At 41.3% G+C, this 16,993-nt stretch overlaps 2 annotated features.

The window, feature by feature from the left end:
• Nucleotides 8,090-8,290: a silencer, noted in NCBI's record as "peak3925 fragment used in MPRA reporter construct". NCBI's record gives its function as "represses an SCP1 promoter by STARR-seq MPRAs in K562 erythroleukemia cells {active_cell/tissue: K562}" and the evidence as "EXISTENCE:reporter gene assay evidence [ECO:0000049][PMID:32103011]".
• Nucleotides 16,374-16,993: an enhancer, noted in NCBI's record as "NANOG-H3K27ac hESC enhancer chr2:172631779-172632398 (GRCh37/hg19 assembly coordinates)". NCBI's record gives its function as "activates a minimal SCP1, AML or CMV promoter by ChIP-STARR-seq in naive H9 embryonic stem cells {active_cell/tissue: H9 hESC(naive)}" and the evidence as "EXISTENCE:reporter gene assay evidence [ECO:0000049][PMID:30033119]".

Raw genomic sequence — 16,993 nt, forward strand, 5'->3', positions numbered from 1 at the left:
GCATATATATTTAGGATAGTTAGCTCTTCTTGTTGCATTGATTCCTTTACCATTATGTAATACCCATCTTTGTCTCTTTTGATCTTTGTTGGTTTAAAGTCTGTTTTATCAGAGACTAGGATTGCAACTCCTGCTTTTTTTTGCTTTCCATTTGCTTGGTAAATATTTCTCCATCCCTTTATTTTGAGCCTGTGTCTTTGTACTTGAGATGGGTCTCCTGAATACAGCACACTGATGGGTCTTGACTCTTTATCCAATTTGCCAGTCTGTGTCTTTTTTTTTTTTTTTTTTGAGACAGAGTCTTGCTCTGTTGCCCAGGATGGAGTCTAGTGGCACGATCTTGGCTCACCACAACCTCCGCCTCCCGGGTTCAAGCGATTCTCCTGCCTCAGCCTCCTGAGTAGCTGGGATTACAGGCCTGCACTACCATGCCTGGCTAATTACTGTATTTTTAGTAGAGACGGAGTTTCACCATGTTGGTCAGGCTGGTCTCAAACTCCTGACCTCGTGATCCACCCTCCTCGGCCTCTCAAAGTGCTGGGATTATAGGTGTGAGCCACCATGCATGGCCAGTCTGTGTCTTTTAATTGGGGCATTTAGCCCATTTACACTTAAGGTTAATATTGTTGTGTGTGAATTTGATCCTGTCATTATGATGCTAGCTGGTTATTTTGCCCATTAGTTGATGCAGTTTCTTCATAGTGTTGATGGTCTTTACAATTTGGCATGTTTCTGCAGTGGCTGGTACTGGTTGTTCCTTTCCATGTTTAGTGCTTCCTTCAGGAGCTCTTGTAAGGCAGGCCTGGTGGTGACAAAATCTCTCAGCATTTGCTTGTCTGCAAAAGGATTTTATTTCTCCTTCTCTTATGAAGCTTAGTTTGGCTGGATATGAAATTCTGGGTTGGAAATTCTTTTCTTTAAGAATGTTGAATATTGGCCCCCTCTCTCTTCTGGCTTGCAGGGTTTCTGCAGAGAGATCCACTGTTAGTCTGATGGGCTTCCCTTCGTGGGTAACCCGAACTTTCTCTCTGGCTGCCCTTAACATTTTTTCCTTCATTTCAACCTTGGTGAATCTGACAATTATGTGTCTTGGGGTTGCTCTTCTCGAGGAGTATCTTTGTGGTGTTTTCTGTTATTTCCTGAATTAGAATGTTGGCCTGTCTTGCCAGGTTGGGAAGTTCTCCTGGATAATATCCTGAAGAGTGTTTTCCAACTTGGTTCTGTTCTCCTCATCACTTTCAGGTACATCAATCAAACGTAGATTTTGTCTTTTCACATAGTCCCATATTTCTTGGAGGCTTTGTTCGTTCCTTTTCATTCCTTTTTCACTAATCTTGTCTGCTCGCTTTATTTCATTAAGTAAGTTGATCTTCAGTCGCTGACATCCTTTATTCCACTTGATCGATTCAGCTGTTGATACTTGTGTATGCTTCACAAAGTTCTTGTGCTGTGTTTTTCAGCTCCATCAGATCATTTATGTTCTTCTTTATACTGGTTATTCCAGTTAGCAATTCGTCTAACCTTTTTTCAAGGTTCTTAGCTTCCTTGCATTAGGTTAGAACATGCTTCTTCAGCTTGGAGGAGTTTGTTATTACCCACCTTCTGAAGCCTACTTCTGTCAATTTGTCAAACTCATTCTGCATCCAGTTTTGTTCCCTTGCTGGCGAGGAGTTGTGATCCTTTGGAGGAGAAGAGACATTCTGTTTTTTGGAATTTTCACTTGTTTTGCGCTGGTTTCTCCCCATCTTTGTGGATTTATCTACCTTTGGTCTTTGATGTCGGTGACCTCCGGATGGGATCTCTGAGTGGACGTCCTTTTTGTTGATGTTGATGCTAGTTCTTTCTGTTTGCTAGTTTTCCTTCTAACAGACCTCTCTGCTGCAGGTCTGCTAGAGTTTCCTAGAGGTCCACTCCAGACCCTGTTTGCCTGGGTATTACCCAGGCTGCAGGACAGCAAAGATTCCTGCCTGTTCCTTCTTCTGGAAGCTTCGTCCCAGAGGGGCACTCACCAGATGCCAGCCAGAGCTCTCCCATATGAGGTGTCTGTCAGCTCCTACTGGGAGGTGTCTACCAATCAGGAGACACTGGGGTCAGGAACTCACTTGAGGAGGCAGTTTGACCCTTAGCAGAGCTCGAATGCTGTGCTGTGAGATCCACTGCTCTTTTCAGAGCCATCAGGCAGGGACGTTTAAGTCTGCTGAAGCTGCGCTCACAGCTGCCCCTTCACCTGGGGGAAGGTGACATCTGTCCCAGGGAGATGGTGGTTTTATCTCTAAGCCCCTGACTGGGGATGCTTTTTTTTTTTTTTTTTTTTTTTTTTTTCAGAGATGCCCTGCCCAGAGAGGAGGAATATAGAGAGGCAGTCTGGCCACAGCGGCCTTGCTGAGCTGCAGTATGCTCTGCCCAGTTCGATCTTCCAGGTGGCTTTGTTTACACTTTGAGGGTAAAACTGCCTACTCAAGCCTCAGGAATGGCAGACACCTCTTCCCCCACCAAGCTCGAGCATCCCAGGCTGAGTTCAGACTGCTGTGCTGGCAGCAAGAATTTCAAGCTGGTGAATCTTAGGTTGCTGGGCACTGTGGGGATGGGATCCACCGAGCCAGACCACTTGGCTCCCTGGCTTCAGCCCCCTTTCCAGGGGAGTGAATGGTTCTGTCTTACTGGCATTCCAGGAACCACTGGGGTATGAAAAAAAACTCTTGCAGCTAGCTTGGTGTCTGCCCAAACAGCCGCCCAGTTTTGTGCTTGAAACCCAGGGCCCTGGTGGTGTAGGCACCGGAAGGAATCTCCTGGTCTGCAGGTTGTGAAGACCGTGGGAAAAGTGCAGTACCTGGGCCGGAGTGCACTGTTCCTCACAGTACAGTCCCTAATGGCTTTCCTTGGCTAGGAGAGGGAGTTCCCTGACCCCTTGTGCTTCCTGGGTAAGGCAACGCCCCACCCTGCTTCGGCTCGCCCTTGTGGGCTGCACCCACTGTCCAACCAGTCCCAGTGAGATGAACCAGGTACCTCAGTTGGAAATGCAGAAATCACCCACCTTCTGCATCCATCTCTCTGGGAGCTGTAGACCGGAGCTGTTTCTATTCGGCCATCTTGCCAGCAATTGATTCTAGAACTTTTTACTCCTCTTCTCGTTAGCTCAAACTACTGGAAGAAACTGGTTAGATATGGAATATGTTTCCACTGGCTGAAAAAAATGGTAGTAGCTATAAGTGGCTTACCTAAAACTCAGCAGGACTACTTTATGACATCACCGTTTGCAGGTATGCTGCCTGGACCCACTTAGGAATCACTCTTTCTCCTTCCTAGGACCTCCCCTAAAATTTGCAGGCCCTGAAGCAATAGATAGGTCAAGATATTTCGGTGTTATAAATCAAGCTTAAAAGCTACTAAATTTTATGCACAACATGCAAGTCCACCTTGAATTTTCACACTTCTCAGAATTCCATGCCCAAAGATGGCAGCCAGGGGAGAACCAGCCTGCAGCACATTGCCTTCCTTCTCTTCCACCCGCTCCTTCAGTATTCTGAAGGGCTTCACAGGAACACTTGTGTATTCTTCAGCCTACATGCCTAAGTAAGTAAGTTTTTCCACAGCCTTGCAAATAGCTGCCCCTTGGACACCTTTTCAACCAGGGTAGGTTTGGGCAAAAGATAGATAGGCCTTGTGAAAGCCCTGGAAGCTGAGCAGTTTAGGCAGGAAAATCAGGGTTTCAGGTACCTTGAACGTGGTCGAGAAGAGAATGAAGTGAGTTCCAGGTAGGCATAACCCACTGGCCCAGCAGACTTTTTGCCCCCTGGGAAAGAACACAACTACAGGAGGGCCTCTAAAATGAGGCACCCGAGGGCAGTGCTGGGCCTGTCTTTTCTCCTAAAGTCAACTGGGTCACTTTTTAAAAGATAATTCTGTTGTCCCTAATATGTTATTTTTTCAATGCAAATATAATTATCACTGAATACTATTTCATGACTCCTAGAGTATTCACTGCTAGGAACTGGTGTTTAGTATTAACAGATTCATCACAAAATGTTGTGTGTTAGGAAGAAGGGAAAAGGGCTGATATTTTAATAAAACCTTGTAAATATGTTCTGTGAGTTACTAGTTGCACAGCACATTTTGTAACTATAGGATCATCCCAGGAGTCTCAACAAGAGAAAGACAAAGAGTTTTTGTTCTGTTTGCTTTAAGTGCTGTTTGTTAGTGAGATTGGATCAAGATGGCAAACAGAAGTATCTGCTCTCCCTCTCAACTCTAAATTCCATAAAGTGCTGTAATTAATAAAACAGAAGAAAAATAAGAAATCTGCTATAGCACTGAAAGATGAGAGGGCTAGCAATGGAATAGAAATTTGGAAGAATGCCAGAAACATCAAAAGCAGGTAGGATCAGTTATAGGCAAACAAAATGATAGGGAATCATAATTCAAAACAGGCAAGACTACTATAAAAGGAGGCATGGGTTGGAACCCAGAGTCAACAGATGCAAAAAGCAGGAGGGTTCCCTGGGGTACTGGACAGGGTGACTCATTAGGGAGCTGATTGATTCAGAATAGCTACGCAAGTTCCCTTCCCCAACCACAAGCTGAGTGGTGGACAAAAGCAGTGTCTCTGGCCAGCCTATAACAACTGAGTGATGCCACCGAAGCTGGGAAAGCAGGGCAGTGCCCCCAGACACTTGCTGACCCGCAAGAGGAGAACAGAAGCCCATACCCTAGTTCCCCCTTATCCATGGTTTTGCTTTCCACAGTTTGTTACCCATGGTCAACACAGTCTTAATATATTACATGGAAAGTTCCAGAAATAATTCATGAGTTTTACATTGCAGGTAGATTCTGAGTACTGGGATGAAATCTTGTACCATCTGCTCTGTCCTTCCCAGGATGTGAATCATCCCTTTGTCCAGTGTATCCACACTGTCTACGCTGCCTGCCTGTTAGTCAATCAGTAGCTGTCCTCGTTAATCAGATCAACTGTCACAGTATCTCAGTGTTTGCATTCAAGCAACTCCTATTTAACTTAATAATGACCTCAAAATGCCAGTAGTGATTCTGGCAATTCCGATGTGCCAAAAAACTGTAAATTGCTTCCTTTAAGTGAAAATGTAAAAGTTCTTGACAATAATTATTTTAATTGTATGCTGAGGTTGCTAAGATCTAAAATATGGCTTAGATCTAAGGTATGAACAAATCTTCCATCCGTGAAATTGTGAAGAAGGAAAGATAAATTCGTGTTAGTTTTGCTGTGCACCTTAAACTTCGGAAGTTACCCCAGAGTGCAGGTAGGCACTTAGTTAAGGTGTAAAGAGCATTAAACTTGTGGATGGCAGACGTGAATGGAAACGTGTTCCAACTGACAGCCACTGGGTTTGGTACTATTCATGGTTTCAGGTATCCACTGGGGGTCTTGGAATATACTCCCTGCAGATAAGGAGGACTACTGTACCCAGAGCCAAAATACTGGCATATCCTCAACATAGCACAGCCCACTACTCTCATCACAGGCTATGATAACAGATACGGCATCCATAAAAAGAGGCTCTCAAATACAAAAATGAGCAACTAAATAACTTAAAATTATAACTGTGAATCACTAAAATATTTGAAGAAAGTCAGTAACACGAAAGGCCCTGAACAAACCGTTTTAAAAAGTCAAAATAACAGCATATTAAAGAAGACATCAAATAAGTGTATTTAACATCCCAAGAGTATAGAGTATGGTATCATAGCCATAAAATAAGTATAGGTTATTATAAAAGAACCAATCCAATCTTAGATATTGCAATTATGGTTGTTAAAGTTGTTTTAAAAGCTAAATAGAGGGATACAGCTGAAGAGTAAAGCTGTCAGAATAATCACAAGGTGTCTCTCATTCAACCAAAAAGTACTAACAGAGAAAGTATCAAGGAAAGCTCAATGATACAGGGATATGTCCCAAAATTCCAGTATCTAAATAGGAGATAAAAGATGGGACATAGGGAGAAAAATATAGACTAGAATAGCTTTCTTTGGTTTGAAAAGGCACAAGTTTAGGACTATAAAACGATCTTTCCCTTTTAAATAAGAATCATTGACCAAAAGTGTCAGAATATCTCAACAGGAGTGATTGTAGGTGTATTTTTACCATAGTGCACTAAAATGTACATTTTTAAATGCAAGGCTTGCCGAAAAGAAAGTTTTCAAATCCCCTTCTAAATAACTCAGGGCAAAAGGAAATTTAAAAATTAAATAATTTAGTAATTAATACAGAATTAGGGCTCCGTGGAGAAATTACTAATATCTGGTCTTGGCAAGAAATAAAAGGAAGAGTTTGGAGCATCTTGTCATACTGGAAAGCTAGGAAGCTATCAAAGATTCCTGAGGGCCAAACACAGTGGCTCATGTCTAATCCCTGTGCTTTGGGAGGCCAAGGCAGGAGGACTGCTTGAGCTCAGGAGTTTGAAACCAACCTGAGCAATATATTAGGTTGGTGCAAAAGTAACTGTGGAAACTGCAACCTAAAAGCAAGACCCCTGTCTATACAAAAAATCAAAAAAACAAAAACAAAAAACACAAAAAACCAGCAGGTGCAGTAGCATGTATCCGTAGTCCTAGCTACTCATGAGGCCGCGGTAGGAGGATCACTTGAGCCAAGGAGTTTGAAACCAGCCTAAGCAACATACCAAGACCCCATCTCTTAAAAAAAAAAAAAAAAATCCTGAGGTAATATCGGTAGGACTTAGAAGTTAATTGCAAGAGGCTCCCACTGGCCGAAGATGAGACAACTTGAGTATTAAAAAAAAAAAAGACCAGGCGGCCATGGTGGCTCACACCTGTAATCTCAGCACTTTGGGAGGCTGAGGCGGGCAGATCACCTGAGGTTGGGAATTGGAGACCAGCCTGGCCAACATGGTGAAACCCTGTCTCTACTAAAAATACAAAAATTAGCCTGGCATGGTGGTAGGTGCCTGTAATCCCAGCTACTTGGGAGACTGAGGCACGAGAATCGCTTGAACCTGGGAGGTCGAGGCTGCAGCGAGCTGAGCTCATGCCACTGCACTCCAGCCTGGGTGAGAGAGCAAGACTCTATCTCAAAAAAAAAAAAAAAAAAAAAAAAAAATCCAAAGGTTTAAAACATATCAAATATGTTTAATTCTTTGACACTTCTCAAAGAAATTCTCATTGTTCATCTCTGGAAGATGCTGGGGAAATATTTTGAAAACAAAAAAATCAAGCATTTATCCTGTTTTTCCCCTCTGTGTAACCAAATAATTGTTACGTTTCTCTTTATAAAAGTATCTCAGCTAATATGTAAGATATAATAGAATACCACCATTTTGCAACTCCTGATGAAATAATGGTTGAAGGTAATTATCAAAGGCTGCTAGTTACCAAAAGAGACATTATTCTGTGCCTTCTTTTGGATGTACACGTAACACACCCACAAAGTATTCTTTTTTTTTTTTTGAGACAGAGTCTCGCTCTGTCGCCCAGGCTGGAGTGCAGTGGCGCAATCTCGGCTCACTGCAAGCTCCGCCTCCCAGGTTCACACCATTCTCCTGCCTCAGCCTCCCCAGTAGCTGGGATTACAGGCACCTACCACCATGCCAGGCTAATTTTTGTATTAGCCTGGCATGGTGGTAGGCTAATTTTGTATTAGGACTACAGGCGCCCGCCACCACACCCAGCTAATTTTTTGTATTTTTTAGTAGAGACAGGGTTTCACCGTGTTAGCCAGGATGGTCTCAATCTCCTGATCTCGTGACCCACCCGCCTCGGCCTCCCAAACTGCTGGGATTACAGGCATGAGCCACCGCACCCGGCCTCCACAAAGTATTCTTACCAAAAAAAAAAAAAAAAATTGATCATAAATGCTGTCAAGCCTCTAGAACATAACTACCAATTTATAGAAAATTCAGGGAAATAGAAACAGCTAAACACCACCACAAGGATGCAATCACCAAAATTGAGAATGTAGGAAACTACAGGACAAACAGGCTGAAGTCTTATGTGCAAGTAAAAAAGAGGAGGAGAGGGAAACCAAAGACTAAAAAGAGATTTAGGAGTGAAATCAATCATATTCCATGTATGGACTTCACTTGGATACTGATTCAAACTGTGTGAGTGTGTGTGTGAGAGAGAGAGAAGGAAAGAGAGACTGACAGACACAGTTGGGGAAATGGTAGTGTTAGATTTAAGAGAGAGATCAACTATATTCCATGTATGGACTTTACTTGGATACTGATTCAAACTGTGCATGTATATGTGTATGTCTGTGTGTGTGTGTGTGTGTGTGCATGCATGCGCGAGAGAGAGAGAAGGAAAGAGACTGACAGAGTTGGGGAAATGGTGGTGTTATGTATTTTTTTCAAAAGTCCTTAACACTTAGAGGTATATAAGGAAATATTTCTGGGTGATCTGATATCTGGGGTTTGTTTCAGAATAATTCAGTAAGGGTGGAAGAGACATGGATGAAGTATAATTGAAACAGGATTAGCTATGAGTTGATCATTTTTGAAGCTGCGTGATGAGTAAAAATTGTAAATATTACAGTATTCTGTTTACTTTGTATACATTTGAATTTTTCCAAAAGTTAAGTCAATACAGCATATACCTTTGTTAATAAATTTGAAAACCTTGACAATATAGAAGAAAAACTAAGGAAAATATAAATTGGTGAAGTTGATCTAAGAAGTAAAAACTTAAATAGACCAGTAAACCAAAAAGAAGTTGAAAAGGTTACCAAAGATTACTCCCTTGAAATACGTAAGCTTTTTTTTTTGAGACAGGGTCTCATTCTGTCACCCAGGCTGGAATACAGTGTCACGATTTCAACTCACTGCAACCTCTATCTCTAGGGCTCAACTGATTCTCCCATCTCAGCCTCAGTAGCTGGGACCACAGGTACATGCCACCTCTCCTGGCTAATGCTTGTGCTTTTTTGTAGAGACAGGATTTCGCCATGTTGCCCAGGCTGGTCTCGAACTGGTGGGCTCAAGTGATCTGCCTGCCTTGGCCTCCCAAAGTGCTGAGAATACAGGCACGAGCGACCACGCCTGGCTGAAAGACATAAGCTTTAAAGGCACAATTTCTAGAGCTTTAGTAACAGCTATTCTAGAAACTAGAAAACGATGGAAAATGCAGTGGACACCAAACCAGACATGGACAGTACAAAGTCAAAACAAAAGAATAAGCCAATCTCAGGAATGAACAAAAATGCAAAAATTGAACACGTGTGGATTAAGATATCACAGCCAAGTAGGCTTAATCCTAGAAATTTTTAAATGTTTCACTATGAGAAAATGTACTAATATTGCTAATCATATGTAAAAATTAGAAAAATCTCAGTGGAGGCAAAAAAGTATATGATAAAATTTAATACCTATTCTTGATTTTAAAAGAAAAAAGAAACACCAGAATAAATTAGGAATAGTGAAAACTCTTAAGTCAATAAAGTGTATCTATCAGCCCGGTGCAGTGGCTTATGCCTGTAATCCCAGCACCTTTGGAGGCTGAAATAGGCAGATCACCTGAGCTCGGGAGTTCAAGACCAGCCTGACCAACATGGAGAAACTCCATCTCTACTAAAAGTACAAAATTACCCGGGCGTGGTGGTGCATGCCTGTAATCCCAGCTACTCAGGAGGCTGAGGCAGGAGAATCGCTTGAACCTGGGAGGCAGAGGTTGCGGCGAGCCAAGATCGTGTCATTGCACTCCAGCCTAGGCAACAAGAGCGAAACTCTGTCTCAAAAAAAAAAAAAAAAAAAAAAATCGTATCTATCAGAAACCTACAGCAAGCATCACACTTAAGGGTGAGATGTTAGAATCATTCTCACTAATGCTAGAGAAATGCGAGGATGCTTGCTATCACACTCCTCCTGTTTAACATGGTGGTAGATGTCCAAGCATCTGCATTAAGATAAGAAAATAAAATGTAAATATTGAAAAGACACAAAACCACCTTTGCAGATAAAATTTTTAACCATGAGAGGACAAGATAATCAGCCAACTGAAAAATATTGCAAGAGTTCATTAAGATGACTGAGTATAAGATTAGCATATCCAAATTGCCTGTTACATTAGTTAGAAAATGTAATGGGCAATAACTCTGTTCATAATAGGAATGAAAATATTTAAACCTAAGCATACTACCAATAAAAGGAGTTTGTAAAACCTAATACTTAAGAATATAAAATTTTGCTGAAGGATATTAAAAAATCTGAAAAATGGACAGACCTGAGATGGAAAGATCCCATATTACCAAATATCAGTATACATCCTAAAGCAAATTATAAATTTCCAAGGAAAATTCCAACAGAATTTTTAACTAGAACTTGAAAAAATGTTGATTGTATAACTCATGGAAGAGAAATGATAGAAAAATAAGCAATATAATTTTGAAAATGAACACAGAAGGCGAACTTGCTCTCCCAAATGCTACTTCATACTGCAACTGGCCTTCCCTCCATATTTGCAGGTTCTATATCCACGGATTCAACTAACCAACTTGAAAATATTGGGAAAAAACTATTAAAAATAACAATACCCAATAAAAATAATGCAAATAAAAACCCAATATAGCTATTTATGTGCATTTACATTGTATTAGGTACAAGTAATCTAGAGATGATTTAAAGTACATGGGAGTATGAGCGTAGGTTATATGGAAATACTAAAACATTTTATTTGGGGAATTGAGCATCCTTGAATTTTGGTATCTGTGAGGGATCCTGGAAATCAGGAGTAGATATACTGATTTCAAATAGAGAATACTCCAGAGCAAGGAAAGTTATCAGGGATAAAAAGGGGCATTATATAATGATAAAGGGGTCAATACTCCAGGAAGACAGAACAATTCTTACATATGCTCCCAACAAGACAGCATCAAAATATGTGAGGCAAAAACTGATTGAACTACAAGGAGTTCACTAGTATGGTTAGAGGCTTCAACACCCCTCTATCAGAAAAGGACAGATCCAGCAGGCAGAAGATCAATCAGTAAGGACATAGTTGAACTCAGTAACACCATCAATCAACTGGATGTAATGGATGTCTATTTACTACTACTTAAAACAACAGCAGAATGCACATTCTTATCAAGCTTACATGAAACATTCACAAAGACCACATTCTGGGCCATAAAAACACACTTTAAAACATTTAAAAGAATAAACATATAATATCTATTCTCAGGCCTCAAAGGAATTAAACTAGAAATCAATAATAAAGATAGCTCGAAACCTTAAAATACTTGGAGATTGAACAACACACTTCTAAATAACACATGAGTCAAAGAAGAAATCTCAACAGAAAATTTAAAATATTTTGAAATATATGAAAATGAGGGCAGGCGCAGTGGCTCATGCCTGTAATCCCAACACTTTGGGAGGCTGAGGCAGGCAGATCACTTGAGATCAGGAGTTTGAGACCAGCCTGGCCAACATGGTGAAACCCCATCTCCACTAAAAATTAAAAAATGAGATGGGCTTGGTGGTGCAGGCCTATAATCCCAGCTACTCAGGGGGCTGAGGCAAGAGAATCGCTTGAGCCCAGGGGGCAGAGGTTGCAGTGAGCTGAGATTACGCCACTGCACTCCAGCCTGGGTGATAGAGCAAGACTCTGTCTCAAAAAAACAAAACGTATATATATGAAAATGAAAATACAACTCATTAAAAATTTATGGGATGCAGTGAAAGCAGTGCTTGCAGAGAAATTTATTACATTGAATGTATATATAAGAAAAGAAGAAAAATCTAAAATCAGTAATCTAAGCTCTCACCTTATAAATAAATCCAACATAAGCAGCAGAAAAAAGAAATGGAACAGAAATCAGTGACATTGAAAACAGAAAATCAATAGAGAAAACCAACAAAACCAAAAGCTAGTTCTTTGAAAAGATCAATAAAATTGATAAGCCTCTAGCCAGGGCCAAGAAAAAAAGAAGATACAAATTACTGATACCAGAAATGAAAAAGGGCCATCACTATAGATCCCACGGGCATGAAAATGGTAACAAAGAAATACTATGAACAGCTCTATGCCCACAAAATGTGAAACACAAAACTGGCCTAGCACGGTGGCTCACGTCTATGATGCCAGCACTTTGGGAGACAGAGGTGGGTGGATCACGAGGTCAGGAGATCGAGATCATCCTGGTCAACATGGTGAAACCCCACCTCTACTAAAAATACAAAAATTAGCTGGGCATGGTGGCGTGTACCTGTAGTCCCAGCTACTCAGGAGGCTGAGGCAGGAGAATGGCTTGAACCCAGGAGGTGGAGGTTGCAGTGAGCCAAGATCACGCCACTGCACTCCAGCCTGGGCGACAGAACGAGATTCCGTCTCAAAAAAACAAACAAACAAACAAACTATAAAACTCCTAGAAGATAACAAAGGCGAAAAACCTTTGATAAGGAGATAACCTGGAGTATGACAATAATATTTTAGATACAACACTAAATATATGATCCATGAAAGAAATAATTGATAAGCCAATTTCATTAAAATTTAAAACTTCTGCCTCTGGGAAAACAATGTGAAGTTAATGAAAAGATAAGCCATAGACTGGGAGAAAATATTTGCAAAAGACATCTGATAAAAGGCTGTTATCCAAAAAAATACAAGGAACTTTAAAAACTCAACAATAAAAAAAAAAAAAAAACAGACAACCTAATGTAAAAATGAGCAAAAGACCTGAATGGGACACTTCACCAAAGAACACATACAGATGGCAAGTAAGCATATGAAAAGATACTCCTCCACATCATAGGTCATTAGGAAGCTGCAGATTAAAACAACAATGAGATACTACTACACACCAATTAGAATGGCCAAAATCCAAAATACTGACAACAACAAATGCTGACAAGTATATGGAGCAACAAGAACTCTTAATTCATTGCTGATGGGAATGCAAAATGGTACAGCCACTTTGGAAGACAGTTTGGCAGTTTCTTACAAAACTAAACATACTCTATCCATACAGTCCAGCAATTGCAATTCTTGGTATTTACCCAAATGAGCTGAAAACATGTCTACACAAATACCTGCATAGAGAAGTCCATAGCACCTTTATTCATAATTGCCAAAACTTGGAAGCAACCAAGATGTCCTTTAGTAGATGAGTGTCTAAATAAATTGTGGTACATCCAGGCTTTGGAATATTATTCACCATGAAAAAGAAATGAGCTATGAAGCCACAAAAAGGCATACAAAAAACTTAAATTGATATTCCTGCTGAGGCAGGAGGATCACTTCAGCCTAGGAGTTCAAGATCAGCCGAAGCAATATAGTGAGATCTCATCTCTACCAAAACAAAACAAAACAAAAAAACAAGTGAAAGAAGCCAATCTGAAAAGGATACATACTGCGTAACTCAAAGTATATGACACTCTGGAAAAGGCAAAACTATGGGGATAGTAAAAAGATTAGTGGTTGTCAGGAATTGGGGGAAGGGAGGGATGTCAGGAATTGGGGGAAGGGAGCGATGAATAGGCAGAGCAGAGTATTTTTAGGGCAATTAAATTATTTTTTACAATGATAAACACACGTCTTTATATCTTCGTCAAAACCTATCAATTAGAACCAAGTGATCACAGCAGAAAAAAAAAGAAAAAGAAAAAGAAAAAACCCTATAGAATGTACACCGCCAAAAGTGAACCCTAATGTAAACTATGGACTTTGGGTGACAATGATGAGTCAATGTAGGTTCATCAAACATACACCACTGTGGTGTGGGATATTGATTCGGGGAAGGGTGTCCAAGTGTGGGGAAAGGAAAGTGGTATATAAGAACTCTGTTTTCCACTCAATTTTGCTATGAACCTAAAACTGCTCTAAAAGATAAAGTTTATTAATTTTTTAAAAAAAGATTTGCCGCCTCATCCTGTGTTCAATTTTTTTTAAAAAAAATTATATGCGCAGAAAAGGGTTGGTAGAAATATTGCAGAGTTGATATCCAGATAACAAAGAATGTCTATAAGTCAATAAAGAAAAAAATTGTAAACCCTATTTAAAATTTAAAAGTAGGCAGTTCACAGAAAGCACACAAATAGGGAACTTCATTCCTAGGAAGATGGCAGGCTATGTTATTTGTATCAGCACTAAAAACTAAAAATGCTAGATTGTTTAAAATTTTCAAAGCACTGAAAAGCTGAGAATATAAGTCAGCAATCTAAGGAAAAGCCAGAACCTAGAGCAGTAAGGTGAGCATTTAAGCAGCTTTTGCACTGTAGGATAATACCAAGTCTTCAAGTGTACTAACATCCTTATATAAAAAAGAGCAGAGTGAATCAATCCAACTTCAATTTTAGAAAATTAAGTATGCATATTATAGATTTACTAAAACAATAAACAAAGTACATAAACTCCAAACAGTGGGAAAAGAATAGAAAAATAAAAATAATTGCTCTAAAACACCCAAGAATATATTAAAAATAAGTAGAGATGGGTCAAAGGAATCACAAAATGAAATGTTATACTTAAATACAAATAAGGTATATCTGTAATTACATTAAATGAACTAAAATGCTTCCACTGAAAGAGTGAAGTCAGACTACACTTTTTTAAAAATGCAAATATATGCTGCTTATAAGTGACATACCTCAAATTAGAGAAAATGTGAAAATAAAAGGACAGAGAAAATTTTCCTTGTAAATATTAAAAAAGAAAAATATAGTTACAGTAATATCAAAAAATAAATTTTCAGACAAAAAGCATTACTAGAGATTAAAAAAAGAGACAATGACAAAAGAATCAATTCATCTGGAAGCTCTTAATTTGTCTTGATGTACCTAATGACATAACCTTAAAATGTAAAAAGCAAACATTGACAGAACTACAAGGAGAAATAGAAAATACAAAATTATAATAGGAAAGTTTAACATGCTTTTTGTTTTTTTACCAATTGACAGAACAAGCAAACAAAAAGTAGGATATAGACATTTTAAATAAATTGCTGTACTTGACCAAATAATGCCATGTGTGAAAGTAGTGAGTACACACATGCCCTCACACAGAGTACCCATCAATAGCAGAATACATATTCTTGTAAGTGTTCATGCAATATTTATTTTAAAATGACGATCTATGGAGCCAAGAGGATTTCAAAAGGATTGTAATCATAGATAGTGTGTCCTTAGACCACAATGCAATTATGTTAGGAATCAATAATAAAAACTAATATCTCCCTCTCCCTCTCCGTCTCCCCACGGTCTCCCTCTCCCTCTCTTTCCACGGTCTCCCTCTGATGCCGAGCCGAAGCTGGACTGTACTGCTGCCATCTTGGCTCACTGCAACCTCCCTGCCTGATTCTCCTGCCTCAGCCTGCTGAGTGCCTGCGATTGCAGGCGCGCGCCGCCATGCCTGACTGCTTTTCGTGTTTTTTTGGTGGAGACGGGGTTTCGCTGTGTTGGCCGGGCTGGTCTCCAGCTCCTAACCGCGAGTGATCCGCCAGCCTCGGCCTCCCGAGGTGCCGGGATTGCAGACGGAGTCTCGTTCACTCAGTGCTCAATGTTGCCCAGGCTGGACTGCAATGACGTGATCTCGGCTAGCTACAACCTCCACCTCCCAGCCGCCTGCCTTGGCCTCCCAAAGTGCCGAGATTGCAGCCTCTGCCCGGCTGCCACCCCGTCTGGGAAGTGAGGAGCGTCTCTGCCTGGCCGCCCATCATCTGGGATGTGAGAAGCCCCTCTGCCCAGCTGCCCAGTCTGGGAAGTGAGAAGCGCCTCTTCCCGGCCGCCATCCCGTCTAGGAAGTGAGGAGCGTCTCTGCCCGGATGCCCATCGTCTGAGATGTGGGGAGCGCCTCTGCCCCACCGCCCCGTCTGGGATGTGAGGAGCACCTCTGCCCGGCCGCGACCCCATCTGGGAGGTGAGGAGCGTCTCTGCCCAGCCGCCCCGTCTGAGAAGTGAGGAGCCCCTCTGCCCGGCAGCCGCCCCGTCTGAGAAGTGAGGACCCCCTCCGCCCGGCAGCCGCCCCGTCCAGGAGGGAGGTGGGGGGCAGCCCCCGCCCGGCCAGCTGCCCCGTCCGGGAGGGAGGTGGGGGCCAGCCTCTGCCCGGCCGCCGCCCCGTCCGGGAGGTGGGGGGCGCCTCTGCCCGGCCGCCCTTTCTGGGAAGTGAGGAGCCCCTCTGCCCAGCCGCCACCCCGTCTGGGAGGTGTACCCAACAGCTCATTGAGAACGGGCCATGATGACGATGGCAGTTTTGTCGAATACAAAAGGGGGAAATGTGGGGAAAAGATAGAGAAATCAGATTGTTGCTGTGTCTGTGTAGAAAGAAGTAGACATAGGAGACTCCATTTTGTTCTGTACTAAGAAAAATTCTTCTGCCTTGGGATGCTGTTGATCTGTGACCTTACCCCCAACCCGGTGCTCTCTGAAACATGTGCTGTGTCCACTCGGTTAAATGGATTAAGGGTGGTGCAAGATGTGCTTTGTTAAACAGATGCTTGAAGGCAGCATACTCGTTAAGAGTCATCACCACTCCCTAATCTCAAGTACCCAATGACACAAACACTGCGGAAGGCCGCAGGGTCCTCTGCCTAGGAAAACCAGAGACCTTTGTTCACTTGTTTATCTGCTGACCTTCCCTCCACTATTGTCCTATGACCCTGCCAAATCCCCCTCTGGGAGAAACACCCAAGAATGATCAATAAAAACAAAAACAAAAACAAAAAAAACTAATATATATTTTCCCAAATTTTGAAATTAAGAAACATTCTTCTAAATAACTCATGAGTCCAAGAAGAAATAATAATCAATGAAGAGTTCCTTCTCAGTTTCTAGCATATGATGATTAGAAAAGAGTTCTTAAAAAAATAGTGAAAATGTCCTAGCTTTCTTTAAATAATAATAATGAGGGGCTGGGCATAATGGCTCACACCTGTAATCCCAACACTTTAAGAGGCTGAGATGGAAGGATTCCTTCAGCCCAGGAGTTTGAAACCAGCCTGGGTAACATAGGGAAATCCTATCTCTACCAAAAAAAAAAAAAAAAAAAATTACAAATTAGCTGGCTTTGGTGT

This window comes from Homo sapiens, chromosome 2, assembly GCF_000001405.40.
Source record: "Homo sapiens chromosome 2, GRCh38.p14 Primary Assembly".
In the NCBI taxonomy this organism is placed as follows: domain Eukaryota; kingdom Metazoa; phylum Chordata; class Mammalia; order Primates; family Hominidae; genus Homo; species Homo sapiens.